This window comes from Homo sapiens, chromosome 5, assembly GCF_000001405.40.
Source record: "Homo sapiens chromosome 5, GRCh38.p14 Primary Assembly".
Classification (NCBI taxonomy): Eukaryota; Metazoa; Chordata; class Mammalia; order Primates; family Hominidae; genus Homo; species Homo sapiens.
This window is the reverse complement of record NC_000005.10, coordinates 122706381-122719938: the sequence shown is the minus strand read 5'-3', so window position 1 is coordinate 122719938 and position 13558 is coordinate 122706381. Positions and strand designations below refer to the sequence as shown.

Below are 13558 nucleotides of genomic sequence, written 5' to 3'. Positions count from 1 at the left end.
ATTCAGGGTGAGTTGACACTGCCAAGTGAAAGCAAGTTTATTAAGAAAGTAAAGAAATAAAAGAATGGCTACTCCATAGACAGAGCAGCCCTGAAGGCTGCTGGTTGCCCATTTTTACGGTCATTTCTTGATGATATGTTAAACAAGGGGTTGATTATTTATGCCTCCCCTTTTTAGTCCATATAGGATAACTTCCTGACATTGCCATGGCATTTGTAAACTGTCATGGTGCTGGTGGGAGGGTAGCAGTGAGGACGACCAGAGTTCACTCTTGTCGCCATTTTGGTTTTGGTGGGTTTTGGCCATCTTCTTCACTGCAACATGTGTTATCAGCAAGGTCTTTATGACCTGTATTTTGTGCTGACCTCTTATCCTGTGACTGAGAATGCCTTAACTGCCTGGGAATGCAGCCCAGTAGGTTTCAGCCTCATTTTATCCAGCTCCTACTTAAGATGGAGTTGCTCTGGTTCACCTACTTCTGACAAATTTTGGGGCTTTACTAATTAAGAAAGAAGAGGAGCCGGCGTGGTGGATCATGCCTGTAATCCCAGCACTTCGGGAGGATGAGGTGGGTGGATCACCTGAGGTCAGGAGTTCACGACCAGCCTGGCCAACATGGTGAAACCCTGTCTCTACTAAAAATACAACAATTAGCCAGGCATGATGGCTGGTGCCTGTAATCCCAGCTATTTGGGAGGCTGAGGCAGAAGAACCCAGGAGGCAGAGGTTGCAGTGAGCTGAGACCACACTATTGCACTCCAGCCTGGGCAACAAGAGTGAAACTCCGTCTCAAAAAAAAAAAAAAAGGAGAATGAATATTGGAAAGAGTCAGCAATCTTTGTCACATTAAACCTGAATCTAAATCATATTTCTCTAAAAAGTCTGATGTCTGTAACCCTACAATAATGAGTTATGTTGGCTCCTCAGTTTTCTTCATTGGGTCTGAAATATTTTATCCCCCAGAAAACTCAGACTAGAGATCTAGCTAGCCTTTTGGAACTCTCTGAATGTTGAAAAAACTCCCTTAAAAAAAGACTTTTGTTACTCTCTACCAAGAATCACATAATTCAATATTTTGTTAAAATGGTAGGTGGAGTTCTCCAGTCTCCAAGGGAACTTTATTTCTGATGTATGTGGAACTATAATAACAAGGAGACCAGAAGTTAGATGGGGAAATTACATCTGAGTTTGCCTCAGCCAAAGTTTAAAAATGGTCCTGTAAGCCTTTTAAATTTTTTTCAAATAACTTACTTTCTGGCAAGTATCTCCAAGTAGTAGAATCAGAAAGAGACTTGAAAAAGCCCAGGACTGACTCTAGAGTTAAAAATATTCTGCTTAACTCTCTCCCTTTCTGCATAAACAGAAAATGGTTATTTGAAGAAGTGATTGACTCCAGGGCGAGAGCAAGAAAAGTACAATAAGAATTTAAAACATCTTCCACAGCCGGAAAGTAAGAAGTATTCAAAAGGTGATGTGGAGTCTTACCAAAAGGATATGGGAGCTAACTGGGAAAAGTACTCGATGGCCAAATCTGGAAAAATTGAGCAAAAAAAATTTATTTAGGTAATTGATTATAAACCATAAAATAAACATTCACGAGTCTATATTGATATAAATAAATAATAAGTAAACAAACAAAAACAGGAATGAGTAGACAGTTATTTTTTTTTCTTTTTCTTTCTTTCTTTTTTTTTTTGAGACAGCGTCTCACTCTGTTACCCACGCTGGAGTGCAGTGGCACGATCTCAGCTCACTGCAACCTCCCCTCCACCTCCCAGGTTCAAGCAATTATCCCTGCCTCAGCCTCCTGAGTAGCTGGGATTACAGGTGCCTGCCATCATGCTCTGCTAATTTTTGTATTTGTAGTAGAGACAGGGTTTCACCATGTTAGCCAGGCTGGTCTTAAACTCCTGATCTCTGGTGATCTGCCTGCTTCAGCCTCTCAAAGTGCTGCTGAGATTTCAGGCATGAGCCACTGTGCCCAGCCGACAGTTTTTTCTTATTTTAAAATCTCAATTAATAAATATTGAAGCAGGCCTGGTGTGGTGGCTCATGCTTGTAATCCCAGCACTTTGGGAGACTGAGGTGGGTGGATCGCTTCAGCTCACAAGTTTGAGACCAGCCTGGGCAACATGGCAAAATCCCATCTCTACGAAAAATACAAAAATTAGCTGGGCGTGGTGGCATGCACTAGTAGTCTCCGCTACTTGGGAGGCTGAGGTGGGGAGGATAACCTGAGCCTGGGAAGTCAAGGCTGCAGTAAGCTGTGATTGTGCCATTGCACTCCAGCCTGGGTGATGGAGTGAGACCCTGCCAAAAAAAAAAAAAAAAAAAAAGTAGAAACAATGAGGAAATAGAAACTCATTGTTTGACAAACACCTCAGTAATAGATACTATAGGTAAGATTTATTAATGGATGCTTAAAATGAATGAGTGAAAGTGATGAGAAAAAGGATATTCACAGAAGCTCAAAGTATCTTTCCATGAAATACTCATTAGTTACAGTGAGAAATTATTACAGAGGGGAAACTTGGTAGACTTGACTTTAAACAAGAAATCAAAGTTATCATCAGTAATGAGACACATTGGCATCACGTTCTTTTAGATAAGATGCACTGAGAAGGGCTCAACAGAACTGTGGGCATTCTTTTTTGTAATTTTCCTATATATATTTCTATCTTACAGCCAGACATTCTTGCCAAAAATGTATAAACTGCATTTACTCATGAGGGAACATCAGACAAACTAAGGTTAAGAGATATTTTACAAAAAAAACTAGCCAATACTCTTAAAAAATGTAAAGGTCAAGAAAGATAGAGAAAGGCTACAGAAGTGTCCAGACTGAGGAGACAAAGGAGATATGACAACTATGTGCAGTGTCAGATTCTGGATTGGATCCTGGACCAGAAAAAAGGGTATTAGTGGGACAACTGGTGAAATTTGAATAAATACTGTACACTAGTTAATAGTATAGTATCAATGTTAATTTCCTGGGTTTGAAATTTTACTGTGGTTAGGAGAGATATTAACATTTAGGGAAGCTGGGTAGAGGGTATATGTGAAGTCTTTGTACTACTTATATAAATTTTTTCTATTTTAAGTCTAAAACTATCTCAAAATAAGCTTCTTTCTCCTCCCTTCCCCTCCCCTCCCCTTCCCTGCCCTCTCGTCTCCTCTCCTCTCGTCTCCTTTCCTTTCCTTTCTTTCCTTGACTGAGTCTCACTCTGTAGCCCAGGCTGGAGTGCAGTGGCATGATCTTGGCTCACTGCAACCTCCCCGTCCCCAGTTCAAGTGACTCTCCTGCCTCAGCCTCCTGAGTAGCTGGGATTACAGGTGCCCACCATCACATCCGGCTAATTTTTGTATTTTTCGTAGAGACAGGGTTTCACCACGTTGACCAGGTTGGTCTCAAATTCCTGATCTCAGGCGATCCGCCCTCCTTGGCCTCCCGAAGTGCTGGGATTACAGGTGTGAGCCCCCATGCGCCACCCAAAATAAGCATTTTTCTCAAAACAAATAAAATGCTGATAAGGCTTGGGAGGTAATCACAGGTATTGAGTAGGTTCTTCCTTCCCTCATATGTAACTGAGTTGGATTTTGAAAGCATTCTGATTGCGTTCATATGCTTTATTAGCAAAACTTATATATTGCTAACTTCTTATCCATCCTTCCTTGGAATTTTATTTTTCTTGACTCTATGTTGTAGTTTAGCAACCCGAACTGTATGCAGTATTCCATATATGATAATACTGGAATGAGCTACTGTTTTGTATTCAATACCTTATTCTGACAAAGCATGGCTTTACCTTTGGCTACAGCACCATACTGGCTCTATACTTTTAGGGAACTATGGTGTTTTTAAGATCCAGCTTCAGTCAGGCACAGTGACTAATTCCTGTAATCCCAGTACTTTGAGAGGTTGAGGCAGGAGGATAGCTTGAGGCCAGCTCTTGGAGACCAGCCCGATCAACATAAGTGAGACCCTGTCTCCTCAAAAAAAAAATAAAAAAAAATCAGTCTCCTGATTATGACAAAAGAAGAGCATAAAAATTGTGTTAGGGAGGGCTTGGATTATCTGTGCCCCACCAACACGCCATGGATTACCCCAATTTACATGAATTCTCCTGCCTTAAATTTTTTTTAATCTTAAAAAATTTTTATAGATGTAGGGGGTACATTTGCAGGTATGTTACCTGAATATATTGTGTTATGGCGGAGTTTGGGCTTCCAGTGTATCCATCACCTGAATAGTGAACACTGTACCCAGTAGATAATTTTTTAACCCTCACTTGTTTCCCACCCTTTCTCCTCTTGGAGTCCCCTATGTCTATTATTTCCCTCTATACATCCAGGTGTACCCATTGTTTAGCTGCCTCTTATAAGGGAGAACATGATTTTTTTGTTTTTTACTTTTTTGTTCACTAACAGTGATTTCTCTGCAGTGCAGGAAGTGGTTGAATCTGGCATCTCAGACATGGTTGGAGCTATCTATTTAATAATGGGCTGGAAACTTAATTGCATGGGAGTTGAAGAGCTTCCTGGAAAAGTACTCCTGTGAGTCCTTGCTTGATCCTCAGACAAATCAGCATTTCTGACAGTAGAGTGGAGCAATCTTACAGAAGGCTGTTGGCAAAATTTAATGAAAGTTCTTCCAGAAGAGAGTTCCTATGGGTGAAGTTCCAGACATGTGAGCATGACTCAGGATACGAGTTCTAGGGAGGAGGACAGACAAATCTGAGTGCCATATGCTGTCAGTCATCAGGATTTGTCTTTCAGCAAAGCCCCTTTAGCAGAGCAAGAAGATTTTGAGTGAAATGACTAAGAGCTGCCCTACTGAATTATGTCATATATATTTAACACCATGGTATTGGAGTCCTTGCAATAATGTTACACAAAAATGTAGGGAGCCCCTCTTCTGCAGTTTGAAAGCTAAGGGCTAGAGGGTCACTAGGTAGAATTACAGAATCTGGTCCAGGAATGAGGAAGATCATGACACCCAGGAGAACACTGTATATTTGAGGTTAAATAAAATGCATCTTTTTTCCATGTTGCTTATCTCTTCAGCATCGCTATTACCATACTCAGATATGGTTCTTGATTACAAAATAATGTTTATTTTCCTTCAGTCAAGCCTATGTTCAGTAATTCTATTAGATTGTTTAGTTTGGATGTTAAATTTCTGCAGTCCTTATTAAAAGTTTAAAAATGAAGCAATAAGACTTTTACTTTTTAATATATTACCTTTCTTTACCATTTACTGCCTATGATAGTTATTTCTGCCATTAACTGACATATTTCTTTAAGTTTTTCAAGACTTGTGGGTATATGCCATCTCTAAAACATACTAATGTAATAAATTAAATAGGATTAGAACCTCATGTAATTTACAATTTGATCTAATATCTCTGACTTCAAAACAGTTTGTGAATATAATTTTGCTTAAGGCTCCTTAAGTGGCTTTCTGTTTTCTCTTTTTAATATATTATGCGAGAGTGACTCTTATATTCTATACATTTAAATATATTATCTTTAATCTTTTGAGGCATTAGTATACCCATTTTTTTAAATGAAAAAAAAATACTGAGATCCAAAGAGTTTACATAAACCTAGAAAAGTGTGACTTTGAACTTTGTCTACAAACTTTAGAGTTTGCAGTTCTTCCCGTATGCCATGATTCTTAAATCTTCAGGTAATCCCAGAAAATCTCCAACAGATTCTAGCTGCCTTTTGCTCTCTGATGCATATAAGTAACTTCTAGAAAATTGAATAGGAGTCCCATTCCCTCTAGAATCAAATTTCTTTGAACATCAATCAAAAAGGAGCAAAATGAGAAGAAAGTATACTCACTAGCTTTTTTTTTTTTTTTTTGGATAATTGATTAATTTTCTATAAATCTCTGGCCTAATTTGGAGTCAGGCCTTTTCAAATTACTTTTGGTTTGGCATATGCTTATTTTAATGTTTTATTTTTTATTTATTTTTTGAGATGAGCTCTTACTATATTGCCCAGGCTGATCTTGAACTCCTGGGCTCAAGTGATCCTCCCATCTCAGCCTCCTGAGTAGCTAGGGTTGCAGGCATGTGCCATTGTGCCTGGCTCATTTTCATGCTTTTAAAAAAAGTTCTAAGGAGCCACTTCTAGATCTCAGTTTAAGAAACTACATCCTGGCTGGGTGCAGTGGCTCACACCTGTAATCCCAGCACTTTGGGAGGTCAAGGTGGGCAGATCACTTGAGGTCAGGAGTTTGAGACCAACCTGGCCAACATGGTGAAACCCAGTCTCTACCAAAAAATACAAAAATTAGCCAGGCATGGTGGCATGTGCCTGTAGTCCCAGGTACTCGGAGTCTGAGGTGGGAGAATCACTTGGACCCAGGAGCCGAAGGTTACAGTGAGCTGAGATTGTGCCACTGCACTCCAGTCTGAGTGATGAAGTGAGACCATGTCTCAAAATAAATAAATAAATAAATACATTTTAAAAATAAAAAAATAAAAAAAAAACTACACCCTCTTTGACATCCAATAAATAGTACTTTTTGAATCTCTACATACTGCCTGGGAATGGGAAAATTTAAGCTATTAGACTAAACTTCAAAATAGTTACAAATCAACAAATTTTGCTTCTTTTACAATGTAATCTTTATAGCAGCTTTGGCTTCTATTCAGTTGGCTTGGTAATGCAAGGAATTATGGACTTAAGTAATTGTATCCGTAGTGGGGAGAGCATTTCCTATCAGGAAATAGTGCTTTTCATTCATGTATTAGGAGTTACTGTGCCACATGGAGCATAGATATTTATGGAATTTAATTTTGTTAAATAATTTTTTCCAATGTTCGTATAGTATCTTTCTGTTTTATTCAATCTCTGCGCATCCTAGAAGAGAAATATTCATAGCATTTAAGGTAAAGAGGGATCTTAAAATAATTTGGAGCAGAAATTAATTCTTATCTAGAAGTTTTCAGTAATTAGCAACATAATCACTGTTTCACATTTCAAACAATGCAATATGATCATTATACACAGGGCGTAGCATAATTTTTTCTTTTAAAATGCCCAGTTTTCTCTCTTTTTATTTTCTTACCCATGGTAAGAAGTTAGAAATATATATATATATATAAAATTATATATAGAAATATATATATAAAATTATATATATAGAAATATATATATAAAATTATATATATATAGAAATATATATATATATCATGTAAGAAGTAAATAGTATACACACACACACACACACACACACACACACACACACACACACACACTATAGTATATATATATATATTTCGCCAGGCTGGAATGCAGTGGTGCGATCACGGCTTACTGCAACCTCCGCCTCCTAGGTTCAAGCAATTCCCCTGCCTCAGCCTCCCGAGTATCTGGGACTACAGGTGCACACCAACCTGCCCAGGTATTTTTGTATTTTTAGTGGAGACAGGGTTTCACCATGTTGGCCAGGATGGTCTCGATCTCCTGACCTTGGGATCTGCCTGCCTCAGCCTCCCAAAGTGCTGGGATTACAGGCATGAGCCACTGTGCCTGCCCCCAAGTTATATAGTTTCTTTAAGGGAGCAAGCCCTATGTAGATCTCTGCAAAAAAGAGAAATTATTTCCATTAATTTGGCGAGACATGGGTATCACCAGATCTTTGAGAGCTCAGCATGTGGTTTCTAACTCACTTTCCTAAACACTGCTTAGAGAGTCATGTAAGAAGTAAATAGTATATACATATACACATATGCACACATACTTACTATAGTATATATAGTAATATATACTGTAGTAATAGTATATATTACTACATATACTATTATATAATATGGTAATAGTATATATTACTACATATACTATTGTATACTATACTAATAGTATATATTACTGCATATACTATTGTATACTATACTAACAGTATATATTACCACATATACTATTGTATACTATACTAACAATATATATTACTACATATACTATTGTATACTATACTAATAGTATATATTACTATACATAGTATTATATACTACATAATAGTATATAATATATTCTACTACTATATATACTATACTATAGTATACTATATACTATAGTGTGTATATATAATAGTATATATACTATTATAAACTATATATACTATATATACTATACTAATAGTATGTTATATACTATTACTATATATACTATAGAGTATATATAGTAAACATACTATATTATAGTATACTATATAGCATATATAGTGTATATATATCTCAATATACAGTATATGCTATATCTGTAGTATATAGTGTGTGTGTATATATATATATAAGCAAATTCATGACATCTCAAATCTATAGCACCAGACTCTAACAATTAACAATTCAGATATTTTGTTTTTATCTCAGTAAATTTGCTTTTATTGGTTGGTAATCTGTTACCAAAAGGGACATTTTGTTAACTATTTTTTTATTTTATTTTATTACTATTATATTTTAAGTTTTAGGGTACATGTGCACAATGTGCAGGTTAGTTACATATGTATACATGTGCCATGCTGGTGTGCTGCACCCATTAACTCGTCATTTAGCATTAGGTATATCTCCTAAAGCTATCCCTCCCCCCACCCCCACCCCACAACGGTCCCCAGAGTATGATGTTCCCCTTCCTATGTCCATGTGTTCTCATTGTTCAATTCCCACCTATGAGTGAGAATATGCGGTGTTTGGTTTTTTGTTCTTGGGATAGTTTGCTGAGAATGATGATTTCCAATTTCATCCATGTCCCTACAAAGGACATGAACTCATCATTTTTATGGCTGCACAGTATTCCATGGTGTATATTTGTCACATTTTCTTAATCCAGTCTATCATTGTTGGACATTTGGGTTGTTTCCAAGTCTTTGCTATTGTGAATAGTGCCGCAATAAACGTAACTATACTACAAGGCTACAGTAACCAAAACAGCATGGTACTGGTACCAAAACAGAGATATAGATCAATGGAACAGAACAGAGCCCTCAGAAATAACACCACATATCTACAACTATCTGATCTTTGACAAACCTGAGAAAAGCAATGGGGAAAGGATTCCCTATTTAATAAATGGTGCTGGGAAAACTGGCTAGCCATATGTAGAAAGCTGAAACTGGATCCCTTCCTTACACCTTATACAAAAATTAATTCAAGATGGATTAAAGACTTAAACGTTAGACCTAAAACCATAAAAACCCTAGAAGAAAACCTAGGCATTACCATTCCGGACATAGGCATGGGCAAGGACTTCATGTCTAAAACACCAAAAGCAATGGCAACAAAAGCCAAAATTGACAAATGGGATCTAATTAAACTAAAGAGCTTCTGCACAGCAAAAGAAATTACCATCAGAGTGAACAGGCAACCTACAAAATGGGAGAAAATTTTTGCAACCTACTCATCTGACAAAGAGCTAATATCCAGAATCTACAATGAACTCAAACAAATTTACAAGAAAAAAACAAACAACCCCATCAAAAAGTGGGCAAAGGACATGAACAGACACTTCTCAAAAGAAGACATTTATGCAGCCAAAAAACACATGAAAAAATGCTCACCATCACTGGCCATCAGAGAAATGCAAATCAAAACCACAATGAGATACCATCTCACACCAGTTAGAATGGCGATCATTAAAAAGTCAGGAAACAACAGGTGCTGGAGAAGATGTGGAGAAATAGGAACACTTTTACACTGTTGGTAGGACTGTAAACTAGTTCAACCCTTGTGGAAGTCAGTGTGGCGATTCCTCAGGGATCTAGAACTAGAAATACCATTTGACCCAGCTATCCCATTACTGGGTATATACACAAAGGACTATAAATCATGCTGCTATAAAGACACATTTTGTTAACTATTACTATTGTATTCAATACCATTGTATTCACTGTATCTGATATTTTCTGCCTTGGCTTGTTTTCTAACATCTGTCAAAAGCAAAAATGCTGTAGTAACATTTGACTGGGACATTAGAAGCTGGAGTTAAAGTACTGAAATATCTTAGGTCTTTTTTGGAGACAAATACTGTGGAACATTTTTCCTGTGCTTTATTTTGTATTTACAGCTACAGCTTAAACTAGAAAATAGAAAGAAAATGTCTAAAACAAAACAAATCAAAAAATGAGTCCAAAAGAAAATAATTTATATTTACCTTAGAAATTGCTAATTTCCTTTTAGGATTTCACCAGTTTTTATGGTGCTTAGATGATTTTAACTGTCCTTTAGAGAAACAGATAAAGCTCTTAGAGAAAAAAGATCAATTTGCCTCTCCTACATTTTAATTGCTAGTGTTAATAATTAAGGCAATATGTTCATTGTTAGAGATTATTCAGGTGCCACAGCCCTTGGGGTTTCTTTTAGAAATTAAGAACAATATTGTGATGTTATAAACAGGATTTTATTTTAATATGTACAGTGTTAATATTTTTTAATCAATACTATTTTTATGATCCATTATGTAAAAATGAGTGCTTCACTCTTTTGATTACAATCAATTCTATTGTGATAATACTGTTATTTACGGAAACTTTATAGAGTCCAGTGCTACAACAAAGGTCGTGTTTTGTTTTCTACTTATAATAGAATCTTAGAGTTGGAAAGGACTTTAGAGATCACCCTACTTTCCTTCTTAGTGTTGAATCTCTTCTATAGAGTCCCAGGTCGATTATGACTGATGGTTTCACTGAATACCTCCAAAAAGCACTCTGCTTTTTCTGGAAGCTCCTTGCCACTCAGAGAGCACTAGCTTTTGCCGGTCCTCCACATCTCCTTTTCTCCCCGTCTCCACAAACACACAAACAAAACACTACTTTGTCGCTTCTACATGTTGGTCTTCTTTCTGTCTTCCAGTCTAGAGCATTTACGATGAACTCAAATCAATACTAATACAGCCTAAACTTTGACAGATTTTGGGTAAGTGCTTTGACATCTTTTTGAATTTTCAAAGATTCTAGGCAGGTGGGAAATTGGAATTGTGCTTATAGTTAATGAGTAAGTCAAAATGAAAGAAGTCAGGAGGGATAAACTATAAAATCAAGCTCATGAATCTAATAACATCCTTTGCTGTTTGCTATAGGAATACTTTTCCTTTAAATGTAATTAAATGGGAGGTGTAGAACTTTCAAGTCAGAAATGACCATAGATTTGGAGTTCAAATTCCTCTTTCTGGCCAGGTGTGGTGGCTCACGCTTGTAATCCCAGCACTTTGGGAGGCTGAGGCGGGTGGATCACGAGGTCAGGAGATCGAGACCAGCCTGGCCAACATGGTGAAATCCCGTCTCTACTAAAAACACCAAAATTAGCTGGGCATGGTGGCACGTGCCTGTCATCCTAGCTATTCGGGAAGCTGAGTCGGGAGAATCGCTTGAACCCAGGAGGCGGAGCTTGCAGTGAGCCGAGATTGCACCACTGCACACCAGCCTGGGCGACAGAGCGAGACTCTGTCTCAAAAAAAAAAAAAAAAAAAATTCCTCTTTCTATGGTTGGAATAACTGTATCCCAAGTATTTTTTAATATTCCTCAAGTGTCCATGGACTACTGGGGGTCTCAGTGGCATATTAAATTTTCCACAGACAGTGTGAAGCCTTCAGAGGGAAAAATGGAACAATTTTGTTCATATATATTTTGTAAATTTTGAAATTTAACATTTTCACAGGAATCTTTTGTATCTCAATAAGTATGATATTCTTAAAAATGTGCATGTATGACAAGAATTGTGTTAGTCAGTTCATCAAGTGAGGCATATTTACACACAATGTGCTTGTTATCCATGTGCTGAATTTGTCTTTTTATAGTTATTATATATTGTCATATGTTCAATTCATAAAAATGAATAAATGGATCAAAAGTGACAAACACAGCCATACAAAGGCTCCACATCTGTGTCACTATAAAATGTGACTCATGGCCTGAGACAAATAAATTAGTAACTGTGATGATTTCACACAGGCAGTAGGAATAAAAGAGGGTGAATCAGAAGTAAAAAAAGGCTGGATACAGTGGCCTGTGATGCCAGCACTTTGGGAGGCCAACTTGGGAGGACTGCTGGAGGCCAGAAGTTTGAGACCAGCCTGGGCAACATAATGAAACCTCATATCTACAAAAAATAAAAAAAAAAATTAACTGGGTGTGGTGATGTATGCCTGTAGTCCCAGCTACTCCAGAGGTTGAGGCGGGAGGAATACTTGAGCCCAGGAGTTTGAGGTTACAGTTAGTCATGATTCTGCTACTACACTCCAACCTGAGCCTGGGTGACAGAGTGAGACCCTGTCATAAAAAAAAAAAAAAAAAAGTAAAAAATTTAAATATTTGAATATTAGATTTAATCAGACTGGCAGTCCATTTGCTCCTAATTCCTGGTACATTGTCAATTATGAAACTTTTATATAGTGGCATAAAGCCATTGATGTAGTTCAAGAAAAATAGCGATTTTGTTGGTATACCAATAGAAAATTCCAAGAACAATGGTAAAATAATGTTTCCAGGACAAAATTGCTAGTTTAAGAAGAGGGCAGATATACAAATGCTTTATTGAAAGCTTCAACCCTTATAGAAAAATAAGTACAAATTACACTACTATTAAAGTTTTAAATGCACTTATGATAGTAAAGATAATTATTATGATCAGAAGTAAAGCAGAAAGAACAATTGACAGAATCCCTTTGTCAGCTGGGCATGGTGGCTCACACCTGTAATTCCAGCACTTTGGGAGGCCGAGGCAGGTGGATCACCTGAGGTGAGGAGTTCAAAACTAGCCTGGCCAACATGGTGAAACCCCGTCTCTACTAAAAATAAAAAAAATTAGCCGGGCATGGTGGCATGCACCTGTAATCCCAGTTACTCAGGAGGCTGAGGCAGGAGAATCGCTTGAACCCAGGAGGTGGAGGTTGCAGGGAACTGAGATTACACCACTGCACTCCAGCCTACAGAGTAAGACTCTGTCTCAGAAAATAAAAGAAAAAAAAGAATCTCTTTGTCAACCGATAAGGTTGGATATTGTATCAGCAGCATATAATATGGAAGAACAATTACTGTCTGGAGAGTGCTAGCGGATATTTCACTCTATGGTTAAGTGAAATTTATTTCAGTATATGTGAGGGACATAAAAGAAGGGAGAAGTGTATGAGGTTGCTTGTTTTGTTTATACTGAAATACCAAGCTTCAGAGAAAGTTTTTTTCCATTGACATGACAATGACTATAAATGTTATCATGGAGATTGGAAAAGGCTCATTGGTTTAGTACCCACAGAATTTTATGTGTAGCAGGGAAGAGCATCTCAAAGTTAATCAGAGAATCCACACATTGATTTCGTCACAGAAAAGAGTAGGTGGTTGATTTAATGTTCAGGAAAATTGAAAAAAATTGCAAATATAACTAAATGATGACCACTGAAATTGCATACTTTCAGAAATATATAGAGAAATGAGTAGGAAGGAAAAGTCTGCTTTTCTGGGGAAGGATGCTCACACACATTTTAAAAAAGGATTTGACTCTTTCCTAGAGACTGATGACTTTCTGTACTTATCAGAGACAGAAATCAATGACATAT

At 37.2% G+C, this 13558-nt stretch overlaps 1 long non-coding RNA gene across 1 annotated transcript in view; it reads left to right on the top strand.

Moving 5' to 3' along the window:
• LINC02201 (long intergenic non-protein coding RNA 2201) overlaps positions 1-13558 on the top strand; it is a 101609-nt gene that overhangs the window by 10622 nt on the left and 77429 nt on the right. The gene's annotated exons all lie outside the window — the stretch shown is intronic.